Below are 22,232 nucleotides of genomic sequence, written 5' to 3' on the forward strand. Positions count from 1 at the left end.
GCATATAAATGGAACTATAAAATAGACGGTCTTTTGCCTCTGGCTTCTTACACTCAGCATGATGTTTTCAAGGTTCATTCACATTATGGCATGTGTTAGTAGTTCCCTCCTTTTTATTGCTGAATATATTGGCCATTTCACTGTATGGATATGACTGTATGGATATGTTACATAATGTTTATTCATCAGTTGATGGAAATTTGGATTGTTTCTATTTTTTGGCTGGTTTGACTAACACTGCTTTAAACATTTGTGTACAAATATTTGCATGCACTCATATTTTCATTATGTTTATTTTGGGTAGATACCTATGAGTGGAATGGTTGGGTCATACAGTAACTTAACATTTAGCTATTTAAGAAACCGCTAAACTGTTTTCCAAAATGGTTGCACCATTTTTCATTATCACCAGTAGCATGTGAAGATTTTAATTCCTGCACATCTTTGCCAATGCTTGTTATTGCCCATCTTTTATAGTATAGCCATTCTAATACATTTGAAGTGGTATCTCATTGTGGTTTTAATTTGCATTTTCCTAATGACGAATAGTGTTGAGCAGTGTTTCATATGCTTATTAATCCTTCATATATCTTCTTTGGTAAAATCTCTATTCGAATCTGAAACCTAATAAACCTAATTGTTTAATTAGGTTGCTTGGCTTTTCATTATTAAGTGTCTTTATACTGGGGGTAAGCCCTTTATTAAAAAATGATTTACAGATATTGTCTCTCAATCTGTGGCCTCTCTTTTCATTTTCTTAAATGATGTCTTTGAAGAAATTTTAATTTTGATAAAGTCTAATTTACCATCTTTTCTCTTACAGATTGCAATTTAGGTGTTATATGTAATAATTCTTTGCCTAACCTAAGGTCACAAAGATGTTCTCTTGTTTTCTTTAAAAAGTTTTATGTTTTCACTCTTACATCGAGTCCTATGGTCTATTTTGAGTTAATGTTTGTGTATGTTGTGAGGTAGGAGTGAGGTCTAAATCTATTTTTGTATGTGGATATTCAGTTGTCTGAGCACCATTTCCTTAGAACACTCTCCTTTCCTCTATTGAATTGTTTTGGCACCTTTGCTAAAAATCAGTTAAGCATAAATGTAAGAGTTTATTTATGTACTCAGTTCTGTTCCATTGATCTGTATGTCTGTCCTTTTGTGCCAGTACTAGACTGGTTTGATTACTGTGGTTTTATAAAAAATTTTAAAATCAGTGATTTAAGCTCTCCAACTTTGTTCTTTTAAAAGATTGTTTTGAATATTCTAGATTCTTTGCATTTCTTTATAAATTTTAGGATAAGATGTTTATTCGCAGTGAGTGGGGGGGATGTCTTCTGGGCTTTTGATAGAGATTGTATTAAATGAATCTATTGATCAATTTGGGAGAATTGCCATTTTAGTAATATGGAATCTTCTAATCCATACACATAGAATATTTCTCTATTTATTTAGATCTTTGTTAATTTCTCTCAGTAATGTTTTGTAGTTCTCTGTGTACAGATTTTCCACTTTTTATTAAATTTATGCTGAAGTATTTTATTCTTTTTTATACTTTGTGAAAAGAATTTTTGCTTAATTTCATTTTCAGATTATTTATTGCTGGTAGGTAGAAAATTCAGTTGATTTTTGTACATTAATCTTTTATCCTGTGACCTTGCTAAACTCCTTTATTGCTTCAAGTAGTTTTTTGGTGGATCTTTTAGGATTTTCTAAATACAGGATCATGTCATCTGAAAATAAAGACAGTTTTATTTACTCCTTTCCAATCTGGATGCATTTTTTTCTTGCCTGATTGCATTTTCTAATGCTTTTCATTGTAACACCTTATGTACTTCTTTATTCTAGACCATTCTTTTTAAAGAATAAGTATTATTATATAAAATATAAACAGACTGTATTAAGCTTAATTCTGATATATTAATAAATTTATATTTTCTTAACTTCAGTTTATAGTAAACACATACTGAACTGTCTTTTTATAATATAGCTGGTTTGAAGTTAAGTTTATGGCCTCAAACTTACCTATGTGTTTCAGAGATATAATGAGCAGTGAAAATTTGCCTCCAATAATGCACAGTTTAGAAGTTCTTCATTTGGGCTACAATGGAATTTGTAATTTGATCCAGCTACAACTTAACAGACTAAGAAATTTAAAATTCCTCTTTCTACAGGGTGAGTAGAAACACTGTTACTGTATAAGTCTTTATTTTTAAAAACTGATTTTATCATCATTCTGTTTTGATAAGCAAATATAAGCATCAGTATTTACTCAAACATTCATAGACAAAAATATTTTAATAATCACAAATTGATTTTTCTTGGTTACTTACATTTTTTAGAAACCATTTTTAAAGGTCAATGCAGTATTCTGAGAATATATATAGTATTACATCATAATTTACTTGTATATCGTATTCAACTTAAAAAACAATAAAAAAAACAGTGGATAATTCACAAGTATTTATTAAACCCAGAATTGTGGTAAGTACTATGAAAGATATGGAAGTACTATGTTATTATAATTATGTATCATTGAAATCCTTGATCTAAGTAGCTTAAGATCTATCTGTGGAGATGTACTGGGCCAAAGATGAAGTTCAGACTATGTATTACTAACTTAAGTGCAATAGAAGTTCAGAGAGAAGAGAAATTAAAAGATTAGCTCGTCGGCATGTATAGAACTCTTTAAAGGAGTGATAGAATCTAGATTGAAGGTGAGCATTACTGAGTGCTTTGCAAGCAGGGGGAGGAGGAAAAGAGTCACAGGACATGACTGTGGTGTCTATGGGCCAAGACTTGAAAAGGGAACAACCTGATGAGAACAAAGAATATGCACTTTTCTAAGAGTTATAAATCCTCTAAACATGATTAATTTGATAAATAATCCTCATTTCAATATATGAGATCATTTTATTTAGTTTTTGTTTAAATAAGCCTCATTACTTTACAGTAATTTTTTTATTATACTTCAAGTTCTGGGATACATGTGCAGAATGTGCAGGTTTGTTACATAGGTATACATGTGCCATGGTGGTTTGCTGCACCCAACAACCCATCATCTACATTAGGTATTTCTCCTAATGCTTTCCCTTCCCTTGTCCCCCTACTCCCTGACAGGCCCCAGTGTGTGATGTTCCCCTCCCTGTGTCCATGTGCTCTCACTGTTCAACTCCCACTTATGAGTGAGAACATGCAGTGTTTGGTTTTCTGTTCCTGTGTTAGTTTGCTGAGAATGATGGTTTCCAGCTCATCCATGTCGCCACAAAGGACATGAACTCATTCTTTTTTATGGCTGCATAGTATTCCATGGTGTATATGTGCCACATTTTCTTTATCCAGTCTAACATGGATGGGCATTTAGGTTGGTTCCAAGTCTTTGCTATTGTGAATAGTGCTGCAATAAACATATGTGTGCATGTGTCTCTATAGCAGAATGATTTATAATCCTTTGGGTATATACCCAGTAATGGGGTTGCTGGGTCAAACGGTATTTCTGGTTCTAGATCCTTGAGGAATTGCCACACTGTCTTCCACAATGTTTGAACTAATTTACACTCCCACCAACAATTAGTAATTTTTAAATTTTGTGGAATAGTGAAAAATTGAGGTTGAAAATATAGAGCCAGGACCAAAGTAGGGAAAGCCAAGCAGAGAAATTTGTACAGGATGTAGTCAACAATAGATAGGAGCTTGAAACTTTTAGAGAAGTAGCGTGAGAAAAACACAGGGCTTGGGACATTAGTCTAACAATAATTTTTAATGGCATAGGAGAAAGGCAGGTATATCCATCAGTGGGACATGTGGGGAGACATCGAGGTAGTTGATCTGAGTATGGTAACTTCTCAAAGACAGGCCTTTCTAGACCATATTTTTAAAAATTTGAATGCATCTATCAAAAGCACTTGTGATTTGGATCAAGAACCTGGAGACCTGGCCTTAAAAACAAGAAATTCAGCACAATGACAGATCTTTTTTTAAAAAAATAATTATTTTAGATTCAAGGGGTACATGTGTATGTTTGTTAACATGGTATTATGTACTAGTGGGAATTGGGCTGCTAGTGTACCCATTGCCCAAATAATGAATATAGTATCCAATAGGTAATTTTTCAACCCTCACCCCCCTCCCATTCTCCCCCTTTTTGCGGTGTACTTATTGTTGGAGCGTACTTACTGTGTACTTATTGCTTAGCTCCCACGTGTAGGTAAGAACATGCAGTATTTGATTTTCTGTTTCTGAGTTAGCTCACTGAGGATAATGGCCTCCAGCTCCATCCAGGCTGTGGTAGAGGGCATGATTTCATTCTTTTTTATGGCTGTGACAGATTGATTTTTGTTTTTGTGTTTTTTTCGGTTGGTTTTTTGTTTTTGGTTTTTTTTTTATTTTTTATTTTATTATTTATTATTTTTTGAGAAAGGGTCTCTCTGTATCACCCAGGCTGGAGTGCATTGGCACAATCATAGCTCACTGCAGCCTCAACCTCCGGAGCCCAAGTAATCCTCCCACCTCAGCTTCCTGAGTAGCTGGGACTATAGGCTTGTGCCACCATGCCTGGCTAATTTTTTAATTTTTCTATCTTTTTTTTTTGATAAGGGGTCTCAATTTGTTACCCAGGCTGGTCTCAGACTCCTGGCCTTAAGAGATCCTTTCACCTCAGCCTCCCAAAATGGTGGGATTACAGGCGTGAGCCACCACTCCCTGCCCAGATATTTTAAAAGATACACTGACATACAAAAAAGCAGACCACCTAACCCTGTAAGGTCTATTTCAATCTAATAATGTAATGGAGGAGTATGTTCTGATGCCATGGCGAGCATGGCAAATTAGAGTAGGGCAGCCTTATTCAGGAAGTGAGGCAGTTTACTCTGACAATAACAGCTGCCATTTATGGAGTCACTAGGCAAGGTGTTTGTCTACATAGATTGTCATATTTAATCTTCACAGCAACTCTACATGGTAAGGATTGTTACATATATTTTACAAAAAAAAAAAAAAAGAAAGTGACATTCAGTGTGGTTTAATAATTTGCCAAGTTTGCACCAGTGTGTGTTATGGTACAAAGTCAAACCTAGATCTATCTACCTCCAAAGCACATGCAGTTTCTATCCAGCTTGAATGGTATAATAAGGGCATAGACTAGAGTGCTGGCAGTGGGAGTGGTAAGAGGTGAATCCAAAAGGCAGTTTAAAAGGAATAAATATTAGGACTTAGTGGCTAATTAGATGTAAAATAAAGAGAAAAACTGTCCCAGATGTTTTTATAATTTCATTGGGAGATTGGGCAAGAGGAGGTACTAAAGCTAAAGTCATTGGGAAATGTTGCTCATTTGGGAGTAGAGAAAGATCAGCTTGTGTTATAACAATTTTGATGCACTAAAAATAGAAACTTTTTCTAGCAATAGTACTGGACCACAAGTCAGGACTAGAGATACATTATTTTAGAATGATCACAATGGAAGTGACAGGAGAAGTCAAAAATGTATGTGCTTACTTAAAAGTAAGCACACAGAAAGATGAATGAAAGGCTGAGAAGAGCTTTGAAGACATTCTACCCCTTTCTCTATATCCTTGTCAGCATTTATGATTGCCTGTCTTTTGGATAAAAGCCATTTTTACTGGGGTGAGATGATATCTCATTTGTATTTCCCTTATGATTAGTAATGCTGAGCATTTTTCCATATACCTGTTGACCATTTGTATTTCTTCTTTTGAGAAATGTCTATGCAGACCTTTTTCCTGTTGAGTTGTTTGGGCTCCTTATATATTCTGGTTATTAATCCCTTGTCATATGGGTAGTTTACAAATACTTTCTCCCATTCTGTAAGCTATCTCTTCACTTCGTTGATTGTTTCCTTTGCTGTTCAGGAGCTTTTTAGCTTGATGCAGTCCCATTTGTCCATTTTTGCTTTGGTTGCCTGTGCTTTTGAGGTATTACACAAGAAATCTTTGTCAAGTCCATTTTGATTTTATTTTTGTATATGATGAGAGATAGGGGTCAAGTTTCATTTCTTCTGCATATGGATATCCAGTTTTCCACCCACCATTTATTGAAGAGACTGTCTTTTCCCCAATGTGTGTTCTTAGCACCTTTGTTAAAAATGAGTTGACTGTAAATGTGTGGATTTATTTCTGAGTTCTCTATTCTGTTCCCTTGGTCTATGTGTCTGTCTTTATGCCAGTTCTTAAGAGGACACTAGCCATATTAAATTAATGCTCATCCCAATGACCTCATTTAACCTTAATTATCTTTTTAAAGACACTTTCTCCAAATACAGTCACATTTTGAGGTACTGGAGGTTAGGATTTTCACATATGAATTGGAGGGGGACACAATTCAGCACATAATAATCAAGGAGAATGAATATTGACTGAAATGTAGTATGGCATACTAGAAAGATAATTGAGCTTAAAATGTAAAAGGTCTAAGTTAGGCCTGATACTGCCATTTTTATGTCTTTGAGAAAGCCACTTAATTTCTCTGACCCTCAATTTTCTGATTAGAAAAAAGAGATAAAATATTTCCCCTGTAGTATTTTGAGACTCTAATAGAAAATACTGTACATATAAAAGCATTTTGTAAATTGGAGAGTCTTCATATAAGTTATCATTAATATTTATATAGCTATTGATAGCTACAATAGAGAGAAATCATAGGTTTATAAATAAGGTTTAGAGTTTTGAAGAATTAAATGAACTTTGATGTGTTTAATATGATTGCAGTGCAAAAATATGAGAAAGAACAGCATAATTAATGTGTATTCTTCTAACATAATACAACAAATTAGTCTATTTTAAGAAATAATTAAATATACTATTGTAATATCTATTAGAGTACTAATATACTCAGGAAGCGTATCTTCTGCAGCAGTCTTCTATATCTACTTTTGTCAATACCGACTATTTTAACACTTAATTACCAAACAGACATATTAGATCAATTCAGTACATTCTGTACATCACATCCTGATCTTTCAAATTCACAAATGAGAAATTTTAGCAAATATTATTTTATGATGATGCTACCTTCCTGTAAATTACATTTCAATTTCTCTTTGGAAATAAGTTTCTTGAATCCTTTACTTCTTTTGACAAATCATCTGATTAAAAAATATTTAAATGTAAGTAGATATCCTTTACTTCAGGAAGTTTGGGCTCACTTGATATATCATGACTTATCTCTTTTTAGGTAATGAAATCAGCCAAGTTGAAGGGCTTGACAACTTAGTAGTCCTTCAAGAATTGGTAGTGGACCATAACCGCATCCGATCATTTAATGACAGTGCTTTTGCCAAACCAAGTTCTTTATTGGCACTTCACTTGGAGGAAAACAGACTACGAGAACTGGGCAAATTACAATCTTTGGTAAAACTAGAGAAACTCTTCCTAGGATATAATAAAATCCAGGTAACATTATTATTTTTTTATTATGGGATTTACAAGCTTTAGTTTCTCTGAGTTCTGAGCATAAAGCTTCCAAACACATCAATGAAAATGTTGCTAGTATATTATTTATCACCTATATACCATCTATATTTCAAGTCATAGAAATAGTCTGTGATGCAGAAATATCCACCCTACTTCTAGACTTCAGAACTGGACAAAGCAACATGCACAAGCTCATTAACAAAGATTAGTTCTACGTGTTCTAAGGCTCTTCTCATCAGTCCTCTCTGAGAGTTCTCATTTGTTCCTTGACTGCTCTTGGTCCAAGTTGTTTCTGAATCTCGATTCCGGACTTCCTTTGGCCCCTTAAACTTGTCATATGTACTTGTTCTACCCGGCATTTGAATCAACTCCTGATAATGGACTTTGACTTGGCTTAATATTTTATCTCTCCCCACTCAAGGCTTCCTTAGATAGGATCCTGGCTTAGTTTTACCTGCTTAGAATTTAACCTGTTACTTTTAGGTCACTGCCCCAACTGAACTGCTCAGACTCTCTCCTGAGATAGCATACAGATAAGAGTTGAAGACATAACCTTATACAGCCCTCACATTTCTCTTAGCATTTCTGTGGTGGTCTGTTAGCTCTCCTTTTACCAACTTTTCTACTTCTGCCAATACCTCTAAGATAGCCTCAAAGACAGACTGAACTCTGGACTACCCGCCAAGGGCAGAGACCAAGTCTATCTTGTCCACATTTCTATCAGTATATAGCATAGTACCCGGTACATAATAGGTACTCCATAAATGTTTGTTTGTGGCTCTGTTTGCTATAGAGTTCAGGAAGCCTTTTCTGGGGGAGATTTTTTTAAAGCCCTGGACAAGGTTAGAAGGAAATCATGAGCCATGCTCCTTTCTACAAAGCAATTAGGGAATGTACATACAGATAAAAATAGTATACAACTAATTTATACAGATTCAAACATTCATCTGAGAAAAGCCTGCCAAAACTGGGGATGATTCTTCCTAAGATTTATCCAGAAGAAATCTAAATTAGGAAAATTGCCCTTCTATGGAGATCTTTCCAGTGACAGCAACTGAACTGCAAAAAAGACTGTCAAATCAGACTTAACAGTCATCACAGATCTTACCTGGTATCAAGCTTTATAAATAATTTCAATGACACACAGGGCCCAGGACATGCCTAGTGCCTTCTCAGGCCCTTCCTTCCCACATCACACACGCCATCGAGCTTAGAATAAAATGTGAGGTCTTCAAGTGAGATTCCATGAGGTGATCTTATATAGTAGGGGAGTGTTTCATTTATGAAACATCTCCATTTTAAACTTGAAATTACGTGACATTTTATAGGGATCCATGCCTTATAATTCTATAGATTCTAGGTTTATTTATTACAGGCAGTCCTTAATCAAGAAGATCTGCTAAGAGAATATCATAAATGAGGACCTTCTTCCTAGCAAGTATCATTGCTTTATTTGACAGGATGTCCAGTTACCAGATTAGACCTGGTAATCTGCTTTTCCACAAGAGTGTCCCTGCCCCACCTCTCTACTCCTCTATCCCTCTTAAGCAAATGAATGGATAGAGATCAGCTGGTATAACAACCATACTTAGTCAAGCTTATTTATTTTCAAAATCTAATATAGCTAAATGACAAATTATATATCATGAGAGATTCTACATATCATTGAATGAAGAAGTGAGCATTATTGATTATTTAATGACCAGCTCTTCTTTGTTTTTATCCTTGAAATGGTATTTTCCATTGAATTTAGATTGATCATTTTGCCATTAAGCTTATTCTAACCATTAATATTATAGTACCTTAATGTGACCATACATTTAGCTGAGAAAAAAAAATGAACTCAGAGGAATAGGAAGGTTATGTTGGAAATTCTGTTGAATTCTACTGAAAACATATTGTCTTCAAACTTCTGAACTCTCACTTCAAATTTGATTTTTGAGAGAGATTCTATCTGTAGATTCATACCAACATGGGCAGGCTGATACCAGCATTAATTTCAACAAAGGGACAATCAGATTGCAAACTTTGGGTTGATAAAGATTGATAGATGGGAGAAAGCCTAGAAAAATTAACAAAGGAACAATATTTCAAGTGAAGGTATATGCAGCCCCTCATTGACCTACTTTAACATCCTTCAGAAGCTATATCCTTGATAAAATATAATACATACCCTTGATTCTGGTGTGATGTTTTTTACTTAGCCATCATGTCCAATAATGTAGATTTAGCTAATTGTTGTCTATCGTCTTGCTTCTAAAGGAAGAATCACAGAAACACAATTGAAAGATTCATTATTTAATTCACCTTGATAGTCCTGTTTGATCCCTGTGTGTAAATGATTCCCCTACCTGGCATCCAGCTACTCTGTCTACTTTTAAACATATAATTAATCACCTGAAGCTGAAAATAACCCCAAGAATAGTCTATTGCTATTTCCTGTCCTCAGCAAAGGCCCCAATCCAGGCACAATTATTATTATAACTGCTTTAGGTACTTATGCTGACATTGCAACAACCATTGGTATCCTGGTTAATGCTTAACAGTTGGCTCTCCAAGAGGAAAAAAATCCCTAATTAGTAACATTTGCCAATTTCTGTGGTATAATTTCTTCTGTCATAGCCAATTTCAGGCTAACACACCATCTCACAAAATTCCTAAAAATTTACCAATTGACTTTTTGTGAGCCAGTAGCAGCACACTACTGTAAAAAAAAATGCTGCATATTAAAAATGGGAAGCCATCAGCCCTTTCCCCACAATTATGGACATATTAGTTTCCCTGATGTCTCTTTAAAAGTTTATGCCATCATTATCTTCTACAGATTTAATAGTCTATTTCCCATATTAACATTTTCTGTGAAAAACAGACATTTTGATTAGGAATATTTCACTAGTGACTACTGTTGTGTTCGGTTTAATTTGAGAAAATAATGTAAGACTTTTCGCATGTCCATGATTACTGATCAGGCTTTGGTTCCACAGATAGAAACTGCTTGTGGGTAAAAATGCACAATATCTCTATAGATTTACAGATTTTTCAAAGCCCTCATTTATGATACTTCCAAAATTAAAATAGTAAAGATCAGTCATTTTAAAAATCAAATTCACTTCCACATGATCTAAAATAGGTCTAAATATTTTTACAGTTACTAGAAGAATTTGCTATATGTCCACTTGTAATTCCACAAAGGAATACAGGCATGTCAATAACTTTGTTGTGTTATATGAACTAGCAACAACCTTAGGCTGAGCTTGTTGGCTAAAGTTTGTCAGAAATAGCATTTTAGAAATAATTTTGCAAAAACTAAAATGTATTTGCAAACTTTCACCAATGTTAAATGGAAGCTAATAAATAATGCTATGCAATAGAGAAGGCAAATTATTTAACATGAGAAATAGTTTTTCAGCTATATATATTCCCAGCAAGTACATCAAGACGCAATCCACTCAATATTACACATTCCTTTATGGTTAAGGCTGTGTTTAATTATGTACCTTTAAAATTTTTAGATTTGATTCACCTTTTCCATACTTTCTGGTCAATGTGCTGGAGGAATTAACCAAATATAATATGAGTCCTAGAATAAATCATAATTCTGAGAAAAAAATTTGATCTTTTCTTGCAAGTGCTGCTATATAGCCAATTTTCCATGTTAGGCTGTTATCTTTGCCAGTCATGTATTTGAAATCTACAGTACACAGCTCTGCCTTTATTCAAGAATACAGAATACTGTCACTCAAGCTCACTTCAGAGAATTCAATCATGAGCTAGCTGCAAACTAACACTTACATATAATTACTTCAAATTAGTCTATATTTTAAGATGTTGAGTCTAACCAAATAATAACTTACTGATTAACTTTTGAATAGGATATCACAGAACTGGAAAAACTTGACGTTATCTCTACTCTCAGGGAGCTTACAGTGTATGGCAATCCAGTGAGTATGTTACCATTCTAATTTATTAGTTAATTTACTGGTAGTTTTATAAAATTTATTTTTATATGGTATTAGAAAGGGATTTAGTTTTATGCTTCTGTATGCATAGCCAGTCATCCCAGCCCAAATTTATTGACTTCTTCCAACTAATTACAGTGCAAACTGTTATTGTCATGTATAAATAAGAAGGTCTGTTTCAGGTTTCAACATTGTATTCCTTGGCCTATTTTTCTATCCCTGTGCCAATATTATATAGTGTTAATTAATTGATGTTTTGTAGTAAGCCTTGATGTCTGGTAGAATAAGCACCTTTAATTCTTCCTCTTTCACCTCCTTCTCTTTCTCATTATTTCTTTCTCTTTCTTCACTGCCTTGGCTATTCTTGGCCCTTTACACTTTTCTATAAATTTTAGGAACTAACTCCTCAAGTTACATGAGAATCTTGTTGATATTTTAATTGGAATGACATTCAATTTATAAATTAGTTTGGGGAGACATTTGCAACCTTTCCTGTTGGAATCTTTGAGGGAACCCAATAAGTAGCACCCTTGTTCACCCAATTTCTAAACAGATTGAGAAATATGACAATGGAGAGGCAAAAATATCAGCTTAGCTTAGTGAGAAGTCAAAGGAGCATGTTATCAGATCTCAGAAATAGTCAATCATGATCACCCAGATATAGAAAATACTACACTGAGCTTTTTCCGCACAGGAGGAGAGCTTCTCTTGGAGAGCAAAACACATTCTTCCAGAACACTTTCTTCCCAAGAAGGGAGTTAAATCACTCCACTTCCCCTAGTAGAGAGGAAGTGAAGGGGTTGAGAAAACCCAGGAGGGCCACATCATAGAGCTACTTCCACCAAGAAGGAAATAGCAATAAACAGTATCCCCTAATATTTATAGTATTCAACCTTCGCATTCATAAACATATATATCACTCCATTTATTTCATGTCTTTGAATAAATATTTGTAATTTTCTCCATAAAGATTTTAATCATCTTTGGTTAGATTTATTGTTGTTTTAATTGCTTTTTAAAATAGTGTCTTTTTTATATTTTCCTAATTGTTTGTTGCTGGAGTGTATACATTCTGATTTTTGTATATTGCTTTTCATCTAGGAATCTTGCTGAACCCTCTTTTTAATTCTAATGGTTTGTAAATTTTTTTGGATTTTCTGTATAGATTATTATCTGCAAATTTGACTATCATTTCTTTCCAATTCTCATATTTTTAATTTCCTTTGCTTCTCTTAGTGTGCTATCTAGGACCCCTAGTACAGTGTTGAATTAGAAGTACTTATAGTAAGTTACTAATTTCAAAAGAATGCTTTAAAGTTGTCACTACTTAATATGATGTTTTCAGTAGGTTATGGGAAGATAACCTATAAAAGTTTAGGGAAATTCCTTTCTAGTTCCAGTTTCCTACCGGTTTTGTCTTGAATGGGCATTGCCTTTTCAGTAATTGGTAATATAGTTTTTCTCTTTAATCTGTTAATATGGTAAATTACGTTAATAGACTAGTGTTAAACCATCTTGAAATTCCTGGGATGAATACTTCTTGGTCATGTTTTATATTTTATTGGATTCAATTTGCTAATATTTTATGTAGCATATCTGTATCCATGGAAATAAGTAAAATTATCCTATAATTTTATCTTCTTTTAGTATTCTTTTCAACTCTCTCAAAGTTTTACTTGCTTCATAAAATAATTTGGGAGCATTCCCTCTTTCTCCAATCTATGGAGTTTTGATACTCAATGTCTCATATTCTTCTGGAAGGATAATTAAACCTTATCTCTAGAACTCTGGGCTTAATATTTTTTGAGGTTATATTTTAAACTACTTAAATTCTTTAATGGCTATAAAGCTAGTCACGTTTGTATTTCTTAAAAAGTTATTCTGAGAAGTTGTATTATCTAGAAAATTGGCCTTTTTATGTAATTTTTTCTTTCTTTTTTTTTTTTTTTTTTTTTTTGAGACAGAGTCTCTCTCTGTCACCCAAGATGGAGTGCAGTGGCACAATCTCAGCTCACTGCAGCCTCTGCCTCCTGGGTTCAAGCAATTCTTCCTCAGCCTCCCGAGTAGCTGAGACTACAGACGCGTGCCTCCATGCCTGGCTAATTTTTTGTATTTTTAGTAGAGACAGAGTTTCACCATGTTGGCCAGCATGGTCTTAATCTCCTGACCTCATGATCCACCTGCCTCGGCCTCCCAAAGTGCTGGGATTACAGGAGTGAGCCACCGTGCTCAGCCTGTAAATTTTTAATGTATTGCTGTCATAGTACTTTCATGAATTGTTTTTCATTTATTTTTAAAAATTTGTATTGATGTAAAACATACATATACAATTTACCATCTTTACATTTTTAAATGTCCAGTTTAGTGGAAATAAATATATTTATATTCTTTATTATTCCTTTCATTCCCATCTCTCATCCCCGCTCCCCGTCCCAGACTCTGGTAACCACCAATCTAGTCTTTGTCTTCATGAGATCCACTTTTTTAGCTCCCACATATGAGTGAGGACATGTGATATTTGTCTTTCTGTGCCTGGCTTATTTTACTTAACATAATGGTTTCCAATTCCATCCATATTGCTGCAAATAACAGGATTTCATTCTTTTTATGGCTGAATAATGTTCCATTGTGTAGCTATACTATATTTTCTTTATCCATTCATCCGCTGATGGGCACTTAGGTTGATTCCATATTTTGGCTATTATGAATAATGCTGCAATAAACATAGGAGTGCAGGTATCTCTTTGATGTATTGATTTCCTTCCTTTTAGATACATACCCAGTAGTGGAATGGCTGGATCACATGGAAGTTCTATTGTTAGTTTTTTAAGGAACCTCCATACTGTTTACCATAATGGTAATTTACATTCCCACCAACAGTGTACACAGGTTCCCCTTTCTCCACATCCTTACCAGCATCTGTTATTGCCTGTATTTTTGATATAAGCCATTTTAACTGGGGTAAAATGATACCACATTGTGGTTTGGTTTGCATTTCTCTGATTATTAGTGACTTTGAGCATTTTTTTTTTTTTGTAAACCTGTTGGCCATTTGTATGTCTTCTTTTGATAAATGTCTTTTCAGATCTTTTAACAGTTTTAAAATTTGATTATTTATTTATTTTTTGCTGTTAAGTTGTTTGAGCTCTTATGTGTTCTGATTACTAATCCCTTGTCAGATGGATTGATTGCAAATATTTTCTCCCATTCTGTGGGTTGTAGCTTTACTTTGTTGATTATTTACTTTGCTGTACGGAAGCTTTTCAGCTTGATGTAATCCCATTTATCCATTTTTGCTTTGGTTGCCTGTGCTTTTGATGTCTTACACAATATTTGCCCAAATCAATGTCTTGGAGGATTTCACCAATGCTTTCTTCTAGTAGTTTCATAGTTTCAGGTCTTAGATTCAAGTCTTCAATCCATTTTTATTTTGTATATAGTGAGAGACAGAAGTCAATTTTCATTCTCATATACAGAGTTATCCACTTTTCCCAGAACTATTTATTAACAAGGCTGTCATTTTCTTATTGTAAGTTCTTGGTGCTTTTGTCAAAGATGAATTGACTGTAAATGCATGGATTTATATCTGGGTTATCTATTCTGTCACATTGGTCTATGTGTCTGTTTTTAATGCCAGCTCCATGGCGTTTTGGTTACTATAGCTTTGTAATAAAATTTGAAGTCACATTGTGTGATGTCTCCAGCTTTGTTCTTTTTGCTCAGGATTGCTTTGGCTATTCGGGAACATTTTAGGATTTGTTTTTTTATTTCTGTGAAGAATGTTTTAGGTATATTGATAGGGATTGCACTGAATATGTAAATTGCTCTGGGTAGTATTGTCATTTTTTTTAACAACAGATATTTATTTCTCACAATTCTGAGGCTGAAAGTACAAGATCAAAATGCCAACTGATTCAGTTCCTGGTGAGGACCATCTTCCTGGCTTGCAGATAGTTGTCTTACTGTATCCTAACATGGCTCTGGTGGGAAGGGTTGGATGTGAAGAGGGCACAAAAACTCCTGGTCTCTTCTATACTCCTCTATAAGGGTACTGGTCCCATCACAAGGACCCCATCCTGATGACCTCATCTAAACATAATCACCTCCCAAGACCCCAACTCCTAATAATACCATTACATTAGGGGTTAGGGCTTTAATATATGAATTTTGGGGGCACATCAGCATTCAGTCCATAGCAACATTTAATCCTTAGCCTCAACTCAGGGTTCACCTATTGTTCTCATAATGTCTGCTATAGCAAAAGGATTCAGCCAGGATCATGCATTGCTAAGAGGCATTAGTGGTCATGTCCCTTTAGCTCTTCCAGTCTAGAAGATTCCTCCTCCAGACTGAGGAATCTTCCAGACCAGAGAAGCCAAAGGGCATGATGATTCCTTCACATTGATGACTTTGACTCTTCTGAAGATTACGGACCAGTTAATTTGTAGAATGTCCTTCAAGTTGGGTTCATCTGGTGACATCTTATGAATAGACTCAGGTTGTGCATTTTGGGGAGGTATATTGCAAAGCTGGATGTTGCATTCTCCATGTATCTGTCACACAATTTTAATTTGTCCTATTCACTGTGATCACTTGATTAAAGTGGTGTTTGCCAGATTTTTCTGTTGTAAAGTTACTCTTTGCCTCTTTTTTTTTTTGCCTTCTGTGGCTTCATGTACTTTATTATTATTTTTATATATATACTTTAAGTTCTAGGGTACATGTGCACAACGTGCAAGTTTGTTACATATGTATACATGCGCCATGTTGGTGTGCTGCACCCGTTAACTTGTCATTTACATTAGGTATATCTCCTAATGCTATCCCTCCCCACTCCCCCAACCCCACGACAGGCCCTGGTGTGGGATGTTCCCTACCCTGTGTCCAAGTGTTTTCATTGCTCAATTCCCACCTATGAGTGAGAACATGTGGTGTTTGGTTTTCTGTCCTTGCGATAGTTTGCTCAGAATGATGGTTTCCAGCTCCATCCATGTCCCTACAAAGGACATGAACTCATCCTTTTTTATGGCTGCATAGTATTCCATGGTGTATATGTGCCACATTTTCTTAATCCAGTCTATCAATGATGGACATTCGGGTTGGTTCCAAGTCTTTGCTATTGTGAATAGTGCCACAATAAACATATGTGTGCATGTGTCTTTATAACAGCTTGGTTTATAATCCTTTGGGTATATGTCCAGTAATGGGATGGCTGGGTCAAACGGTATTTCTAGTTCTAGATCCTTGAGGAATTGCCACACTGTCTTCCACAATGGTTGAACTAGTTTACAGTCCCACCAACAGGGTAAAAGCGTTCCTATTTCTCCATATCCTCTCCAGCACCTGTTGTTTCCTGACTTTTTAATGATCGCCATTCTAACTGGTGTGAGATGGTATCTCATTGTGGTTTTGATTTGCATTTCTCTGATGGCCAGTGATAATGAGCATTTTTTCATGTGTCTGTTGGCTGCATAAATGTCTTCTTTTGAGAAGTGTCTGTTCATATCCTTTGCCCACTTTTTGATGGGGTTCTTTGATTTTTTCTTGAAAATTTGTTTAGGTTCTTTGTAGATTCTGGATATTAGCCCTTTGTCCGATAGGTAGATTGTAAAAATTTCCTCCCATTCTGCAGGTTGCCTGTTCACTCTGATGGTAGTTTCTTTCGCTGTGCAGAAGCTCTTTACTTTCATTAGATCCCATTTGTCAATTTTGGCTTTTGTTGCCATTGCTGTTGGTGTTTTAGTCATGAAGTCCTTGTCCATGTCTATGTCCTGAATGGTATTGTCTAGGTTTTCTTCTAGGGTTTTTATGGTTTTAGGTCTAAATTTAAGTCTTTAATCTATCTTGAATTAATTTTTGTATAAGATGTAAGGAAGGGATCCAGTTTCAGCTTTCTCCATATGGCCAGCCAGTTTTCCCAGCACCATTTATTAAATAGGGAATCCTTTCCCCATTGCTTGTTTTTGTCTGGTTTATCAAAGATCAGATGGTTGTAGATGTGTGGTATTGTTTCCAGGGGCTCTATTCTGTTCCATTGGTCTATATCTCTGTTTTGGTACCAGTACTATGCTGTTTTGGTTACTGTAGCCTTGTAGTATAGTTTGAAGTCAGGTAGCGTGATGCCTCCAGCTTTGTTCTTTTGGCTTAGGATTGACTTGGCAATGCGGGCTCTTTTTTGGTTCCATATGAACTTTAAAGTAGTTTTTTCCAATTCTGTGAAGAAAGTCGTTGGTAGCTTGATGGGGATGGCATTGAATCTATAAATTACATTGGGCAGTATGGCCATTTTCACAATATTGATTCTTCCTATCCATGAGCATGGAATGTTCTTCCATTTGTTTGTGTCCTCTTTTATTTCTTTTAGCAGTGGTTTGTAGTTCTCCTTGAAGAGGGCCTTCACATCCCTTGTAAGTTAGATTCCTAGGTATTTTATTTTCTCTGAAGCAATTGTGAATGGGGGTTCACTCACAATTTGGCTCTCTGTTTATCTGTTATTGGTGTATAGGAATGTTTGTAATTTTTGCACATTGATTTTGTATCCTGCGACTTTGCTGAAGTTGCTTATCAGCTTACGGAGATTTGGGGATGAGACAATGGGGTTTTCCAAATATACAATCATGTCATCTGCAAACCGGGACAATTTGACTTCCTCTTTTCCTAACTGAATACGCTTTATTTCTTTCTCTTGCCTGATTGCCCTGGCCAGAACTTCCAACACTATGTTGAATAGGAGTGGTGAGAGAGGGCATCCCTATCTTGTGCCAGTTTTCAAAGGGAATGCTTCCAGATTTTGCCCATTCAGTATGATATTGGCTGTGGGTCTGTCATAAATAGCTCTTATTATTTTGAGATACGTCCCATCAGTACCTAGTTTATTGACAGTTTTTAGCATGAAGGGCTGAATTTTGTCGAAGGCCTTCTATGCATCTATTGAGATAATCATGTAGTTTTTGTCCTTGGTTCTGTTTATATGATGGATTACATTTATTGATTTACGAATGTTGAACCAGACTTGCATCCCAGTGATGAAGCCGACTTAATCGTGGTGGATAAGCTTTTTGATGTGCTGCTGGATTCGGTTTGCCAGTATTTTATTGAGGATTTTTGCATCAATGTTCATCAGGGATATTGGTCTAAAATTCTCTTTTTTGTTGTGTCTCTGCCAGGCTTTCGTATCGGGATGATGCTGGCCTCATAAAATGAGTTAGGGAGGATTCCCTCTTTTTCTATTGATTGGAATAGTTTCAGAAGGAATGGTACCAGCTCCTCTTTGTACCTCTGGTAGAATTTGGCTGCGAATCCTTCTGGTCTTGGACTTTTTTTGGTTGGTAGGCTATTAATTATTGCCTCAATTTCAGACCCTTTTATTGGTCTATTCAGGGATTCAACTTCTTCCTGGTTTAGTCTTGGGAGGGTGTGTGTGTCCAGGAATTTATCCATTTCTTCTAGATTTTCTAGTTTATTTGCATAGAGGTGTTTATAGTATTCTCTGACAGTAGTTTGTATTTCTGTGGGATCGGTGGTGATATCCTGTTTATCATTTTTTATTGAGTCTATTTGATTCTTCTCTCTTTTCTTCTTTATTAGTCTTGCTAGTGGCCTATCAGTTTTGTTGATCTTTTGAAAAAACAGCTCCTGGATTCATTGATTTTTTTGAAGGGTTTTTTGTGTCTCTATCTCCTTCATTTCTGCTCTTATCTTAGTTATTTCTTGCCTTCTGCTAGCTTTTGAACGTGTTTGCTCTTGCTTCTCTCGTTCTTTTAATTGTGATGTTAGGGTGTCTATTTTAGATGTTTCCTGCTTTCTCCTGTGTACATTTAGTGCTATAAATTTCCTTCTACACACTGCTTTAAATGTGTCCCAGAGATTCTGGTATGTTGTGCCTTTGTTCTCATTGGTTTCAAAGAACATCTTTATTTCTGCCTCCATTTTGTTATGTACCCAGTAGTCATTCAGGAGCAGGTTGTTCAGTTTCCATGTAGTTGAGCGGTTTTGAGTGAGTTTCTGAATCCTGAGTTCTAGTTTGATTGCACTGTGGTCTGAGAGACAGTTATAATTTCTGTTCTTTTATATTTGCTGAGGAGTGCTTTACTTCCAACTATGTGGTACATTTTGGAATAAATGCGGTGTGGTGCTGAGAAGAATGTACATTTTGTTGATTTGCAGTGGAGAGTTCTGTAGATGTCTATTAGGTCCACTTGGTGCAGAGCTGAGTTCAATTCCTGGATATCCTTGTTAACTTTCTGTCTCGTTGATCTGTCTAATGTTGACAGTGGGGTGTTAAAGTCTCCCATTATTATTGTGTAGGAGTCTCAGTCTCTTTGTACATCTCTAAGGACTTGCTTTATGAATCTGGGTGCTCCTGTATTGGGTGCATATATATGTAGGATAGTTAGCTCTTCTTGTTGAATTGATCCCTTTACCATTATATAATGGCCTTCTTTGTCTATTCTGATCTTTGTTGGTTTAAAGTCTTGTTTTATCAGACTAGGATTGCAACCCCTGCATTTTTTTGTTTTCCATTTCCTTGGTAGATCTTCCTCCATCCCTTTATTTTGAGCCTATGTGTGTCTCTGCCTGTGAGATGGGTCTCCTGAATACAGCACACCAATGGGTCTTAACTCTTTATCCAATTTGCCAGTCTGTGTCTTTTAATTGGAGCATTTAGCCCATTTATATTTAAGGTTAATATTGTTGTGTGTGAATTTGATCCTGTCATTATGATGTTAGCTGGTTATTTTGCTCATCAGTTGATGCTGTTTCTTCCTAGTATTGATGGTCTTTACAATTTGGCATGTTTTTGCAGTGGCTGGTACCAGTTGTTCCTTTCCATGTTTAGTGCTTCCTTCAGGAGGTCTTGTAAGGCAGGCCTGGTGGTGACAAAATCTCTCAGCATTTGTTTGTCTGAAAGGATTTTATTTCTCCTTCACTTATGAAGCTTAGTTTGGCTGGATATGAAATTCTGGGTTGAAAATTGTTTTCTTTAAGAATGTTGAATATTGGTCCCCACTCTCTTCTGGCTCGTACAGTTTCTGCTGAGAGATCCACTTTTAGTCTGATGGGCTTCCCTTTGTGGGTAACCCGACCTTTCTCTCTCACTACCCTTAACATTTTTTCCTTCATTTCAACTTTGGTGAATCTGACAATTATGTGTCTTTGAGTTGCTCTTCTTGAGGAGTATCTTCGTGGCATTCTCTGTATTTCCTGAATTTTAATGTTTGCCTGCCTCGCTAGGTTGGGGAAGTTCTCCTGGATAATATCCTGAAGAGCATTTTCCAACTTGGTTCCATTCTCCCCGTCACTTTCAGGTACACCAATCACACGTAGATATGGTCTTTTCACATAGTCCCATATTTTTTGGAGGCTTTATGCATTTTTTACTCTAAACTTCTCACTTCATTTCATTCGTTTGATGTTCAATCACTGATACCCTTTCTTCCACTTGATCAAATCAGCTACTGAAGCTTGTGCATATGTCACGCAGTTCTCCTGCCATGGTTTTCAGCTCCATCAGGTCATTTAAGGACTTCTCTATACTTTTATTCTAGTTAGCCATTCGTCTAATCCTTTTTCAAGGTTTTTAGCTTATTTGTGATGTGTTCGAACACCCTCTTTTAGCTCGGATAAGTTTATTATTACTGATCATCTGAAGCATTCTTCTCTCAACTTGTCAAAGTCATTCTCCATCCAGCTTTGTTCTGTTGCTGGCGAGGAGCTGCATTCCTTTGGAGGAGAAGAGGCACTCAGATTTTTAGAATTTTCAGCTTTTCTGCTCTGTTTTTTCCCCATCTTTGTGGTTTTATCTACCTTTGGTCTTTGATTATGGTGATGTACAGATGGGGTTTTGGTATGGATGTCCTTTCTGTTTGTTAGTTTTCTTTCTAACGGTCAGGACCCTCAGCTGCAGGTCTGTTGGAGTTTGCTGGAGGTCCACTCCAGACCCTGTTTGCCTGGGTATCACCAGCGGAGGCTGCAGAACAGCAAAGATTGCAGAACGGCAAATGTTGCTGCTTGATCCTTCCTCTGGAACCTTCGTCTCAGAGGGGCACCCAGCTGTATGAGGTGTCAGTCAGCCCCTACTGGGACGTGCCTCCCAGTTAGGCTACTTGGGGGTCAGGGACCCACTTGAGGAGGCAGTCTGTCCGTTCTCAGATCTCAAACTCCATGCTGGGAGAAGCACTACTCTCTTCAAAGCTGTCAGATAGGGACGTTTAAGTCTGCAGAAGTTTCTGCTGCCTGTTGTTCAGCTATGCCCTGCCCCCAGAGGTGGAGTCTACAGAGGCAGGCAGGCCTCCTTGAGCTGTGGTGGGCTCCACTGAGTTCGAGCTTCCCAGCTTCTTTGTTTACCTATTCAAGCCTCAGCAATGGCGGATGCCCCTCCCCTAGCCTCGCTGCTGCCTTGCAGTTCGATCTCAGACTGCTGTGCTGGCAGTGAGTGAGGCTCCGTGGGCATGGGATCCTCCAAGCCATGCGCGGGATATAATCTCCTGTTGTGCCGTTTGCTAAGACCATTGGAAAAGCACAGTATTAGGCTGAGAGTGTCCCGATTTTCCAGGTACTGCCTGTCATGGCTTCCCTTGGCTAGGAAAGGGAATTTCCCCACCCTTTGCACTTCCCGGGTGAGGCAATGCCCTGTCCTGCTTTGGCTCATGCTCCGTGGGCTGCACCTATTGTCCGACAAGCCCCAGTGAGATGAACACAGTACCTCAGTTGGAAATGCAGAAATCACCCATCTTCGGTGTCGCTCACACTGGGAGCTGTAGACTGGAGCTGTTCCTATTAGGCCATCTTGGAACCTCCCATGTATTGTCATTTTAACAATATTAATTATTCCAATCCATGAGCATAG

The 22,232-nt window shown here is 36.4% G+C and overlaps 1 protein-coding gene and 1 long non-coding RNA gene across 19 annotated transcripts in view; one reads left to right on the plus strand and one right to left on the minus strand.

The window, feature by feature from the left end:
* LRRC9 (leucine rich repeat containing 9) overlaps positions 1-22,232 on the plus strand; it is a 147,105-nt gene that overhangs the window by 100,986 nt on the left and 23,887 nt on the right. For 11 of the 14 annotated variants that reach the window (XR_002957549.2, NM_001355272.3, XM_024449566.2 and 8 more), the window contains 3 exons: positions 2,036-2,172; positions 7,186-7,403; positions 11,297-11,365. Coding sequence is in view for 11 of the 14 variants with exons in the window: in NM_001355272.3 (NP_001342201.1) it covers positions 2,036-2,172; positions 7,186-7,403; positions 11,297-11,365 (424 nt within the window). In the remaining 3 variants the exon portion in view is untranslated. Of the gene's footprint in view, positions 1-2,035; positions 2,173-7,185; positions 7,404-11,296; positions 11,370-15,258; positions 15,348-15,607; positions 15,812-22,232 lie in introns of those variants that run through there. The other 3 variants (XR_002957550.2, XM_024449570.1, NR_075071.3) reach the window with 3 other exon arrangements.
* The window catches only part of PCNX4-DT (PCNX4 divergent transcript), a 122,654-nt gene that overhangs the window by 51,606 nt on the left and 48,816 nt on the right, over positions 1-22,232 (minus strand). For 4 of the 5 annotated variants that reach the window (XR_943918.4, XR_007064198.1, XR_007064199.1 and 1 more), the window contains one exon: positions 9,598-9,680. This is a non-coding gene — a long non-coding RNA (PCNX4 divergent transcript). Of the gene's footprint in view, positions 1-1,603; positions 1,731-9,597; positions 9,681-22,232 lie in introns of those variants that run through there. The other variant, XR_943916.4, reaches the window with a different exon arrangement.

Source organism: Homo sapiens, chromosome 14 (genome assembly GCF_000001405.40).
Source record: "Homo sapiens chromosome 14, GRCh38.p14 Primary Assembly".
NCBI lineage: Eukaryota > Metazoa > Chordata > Mammalia > Primates > Hominidae > Homo > Homo sapiens.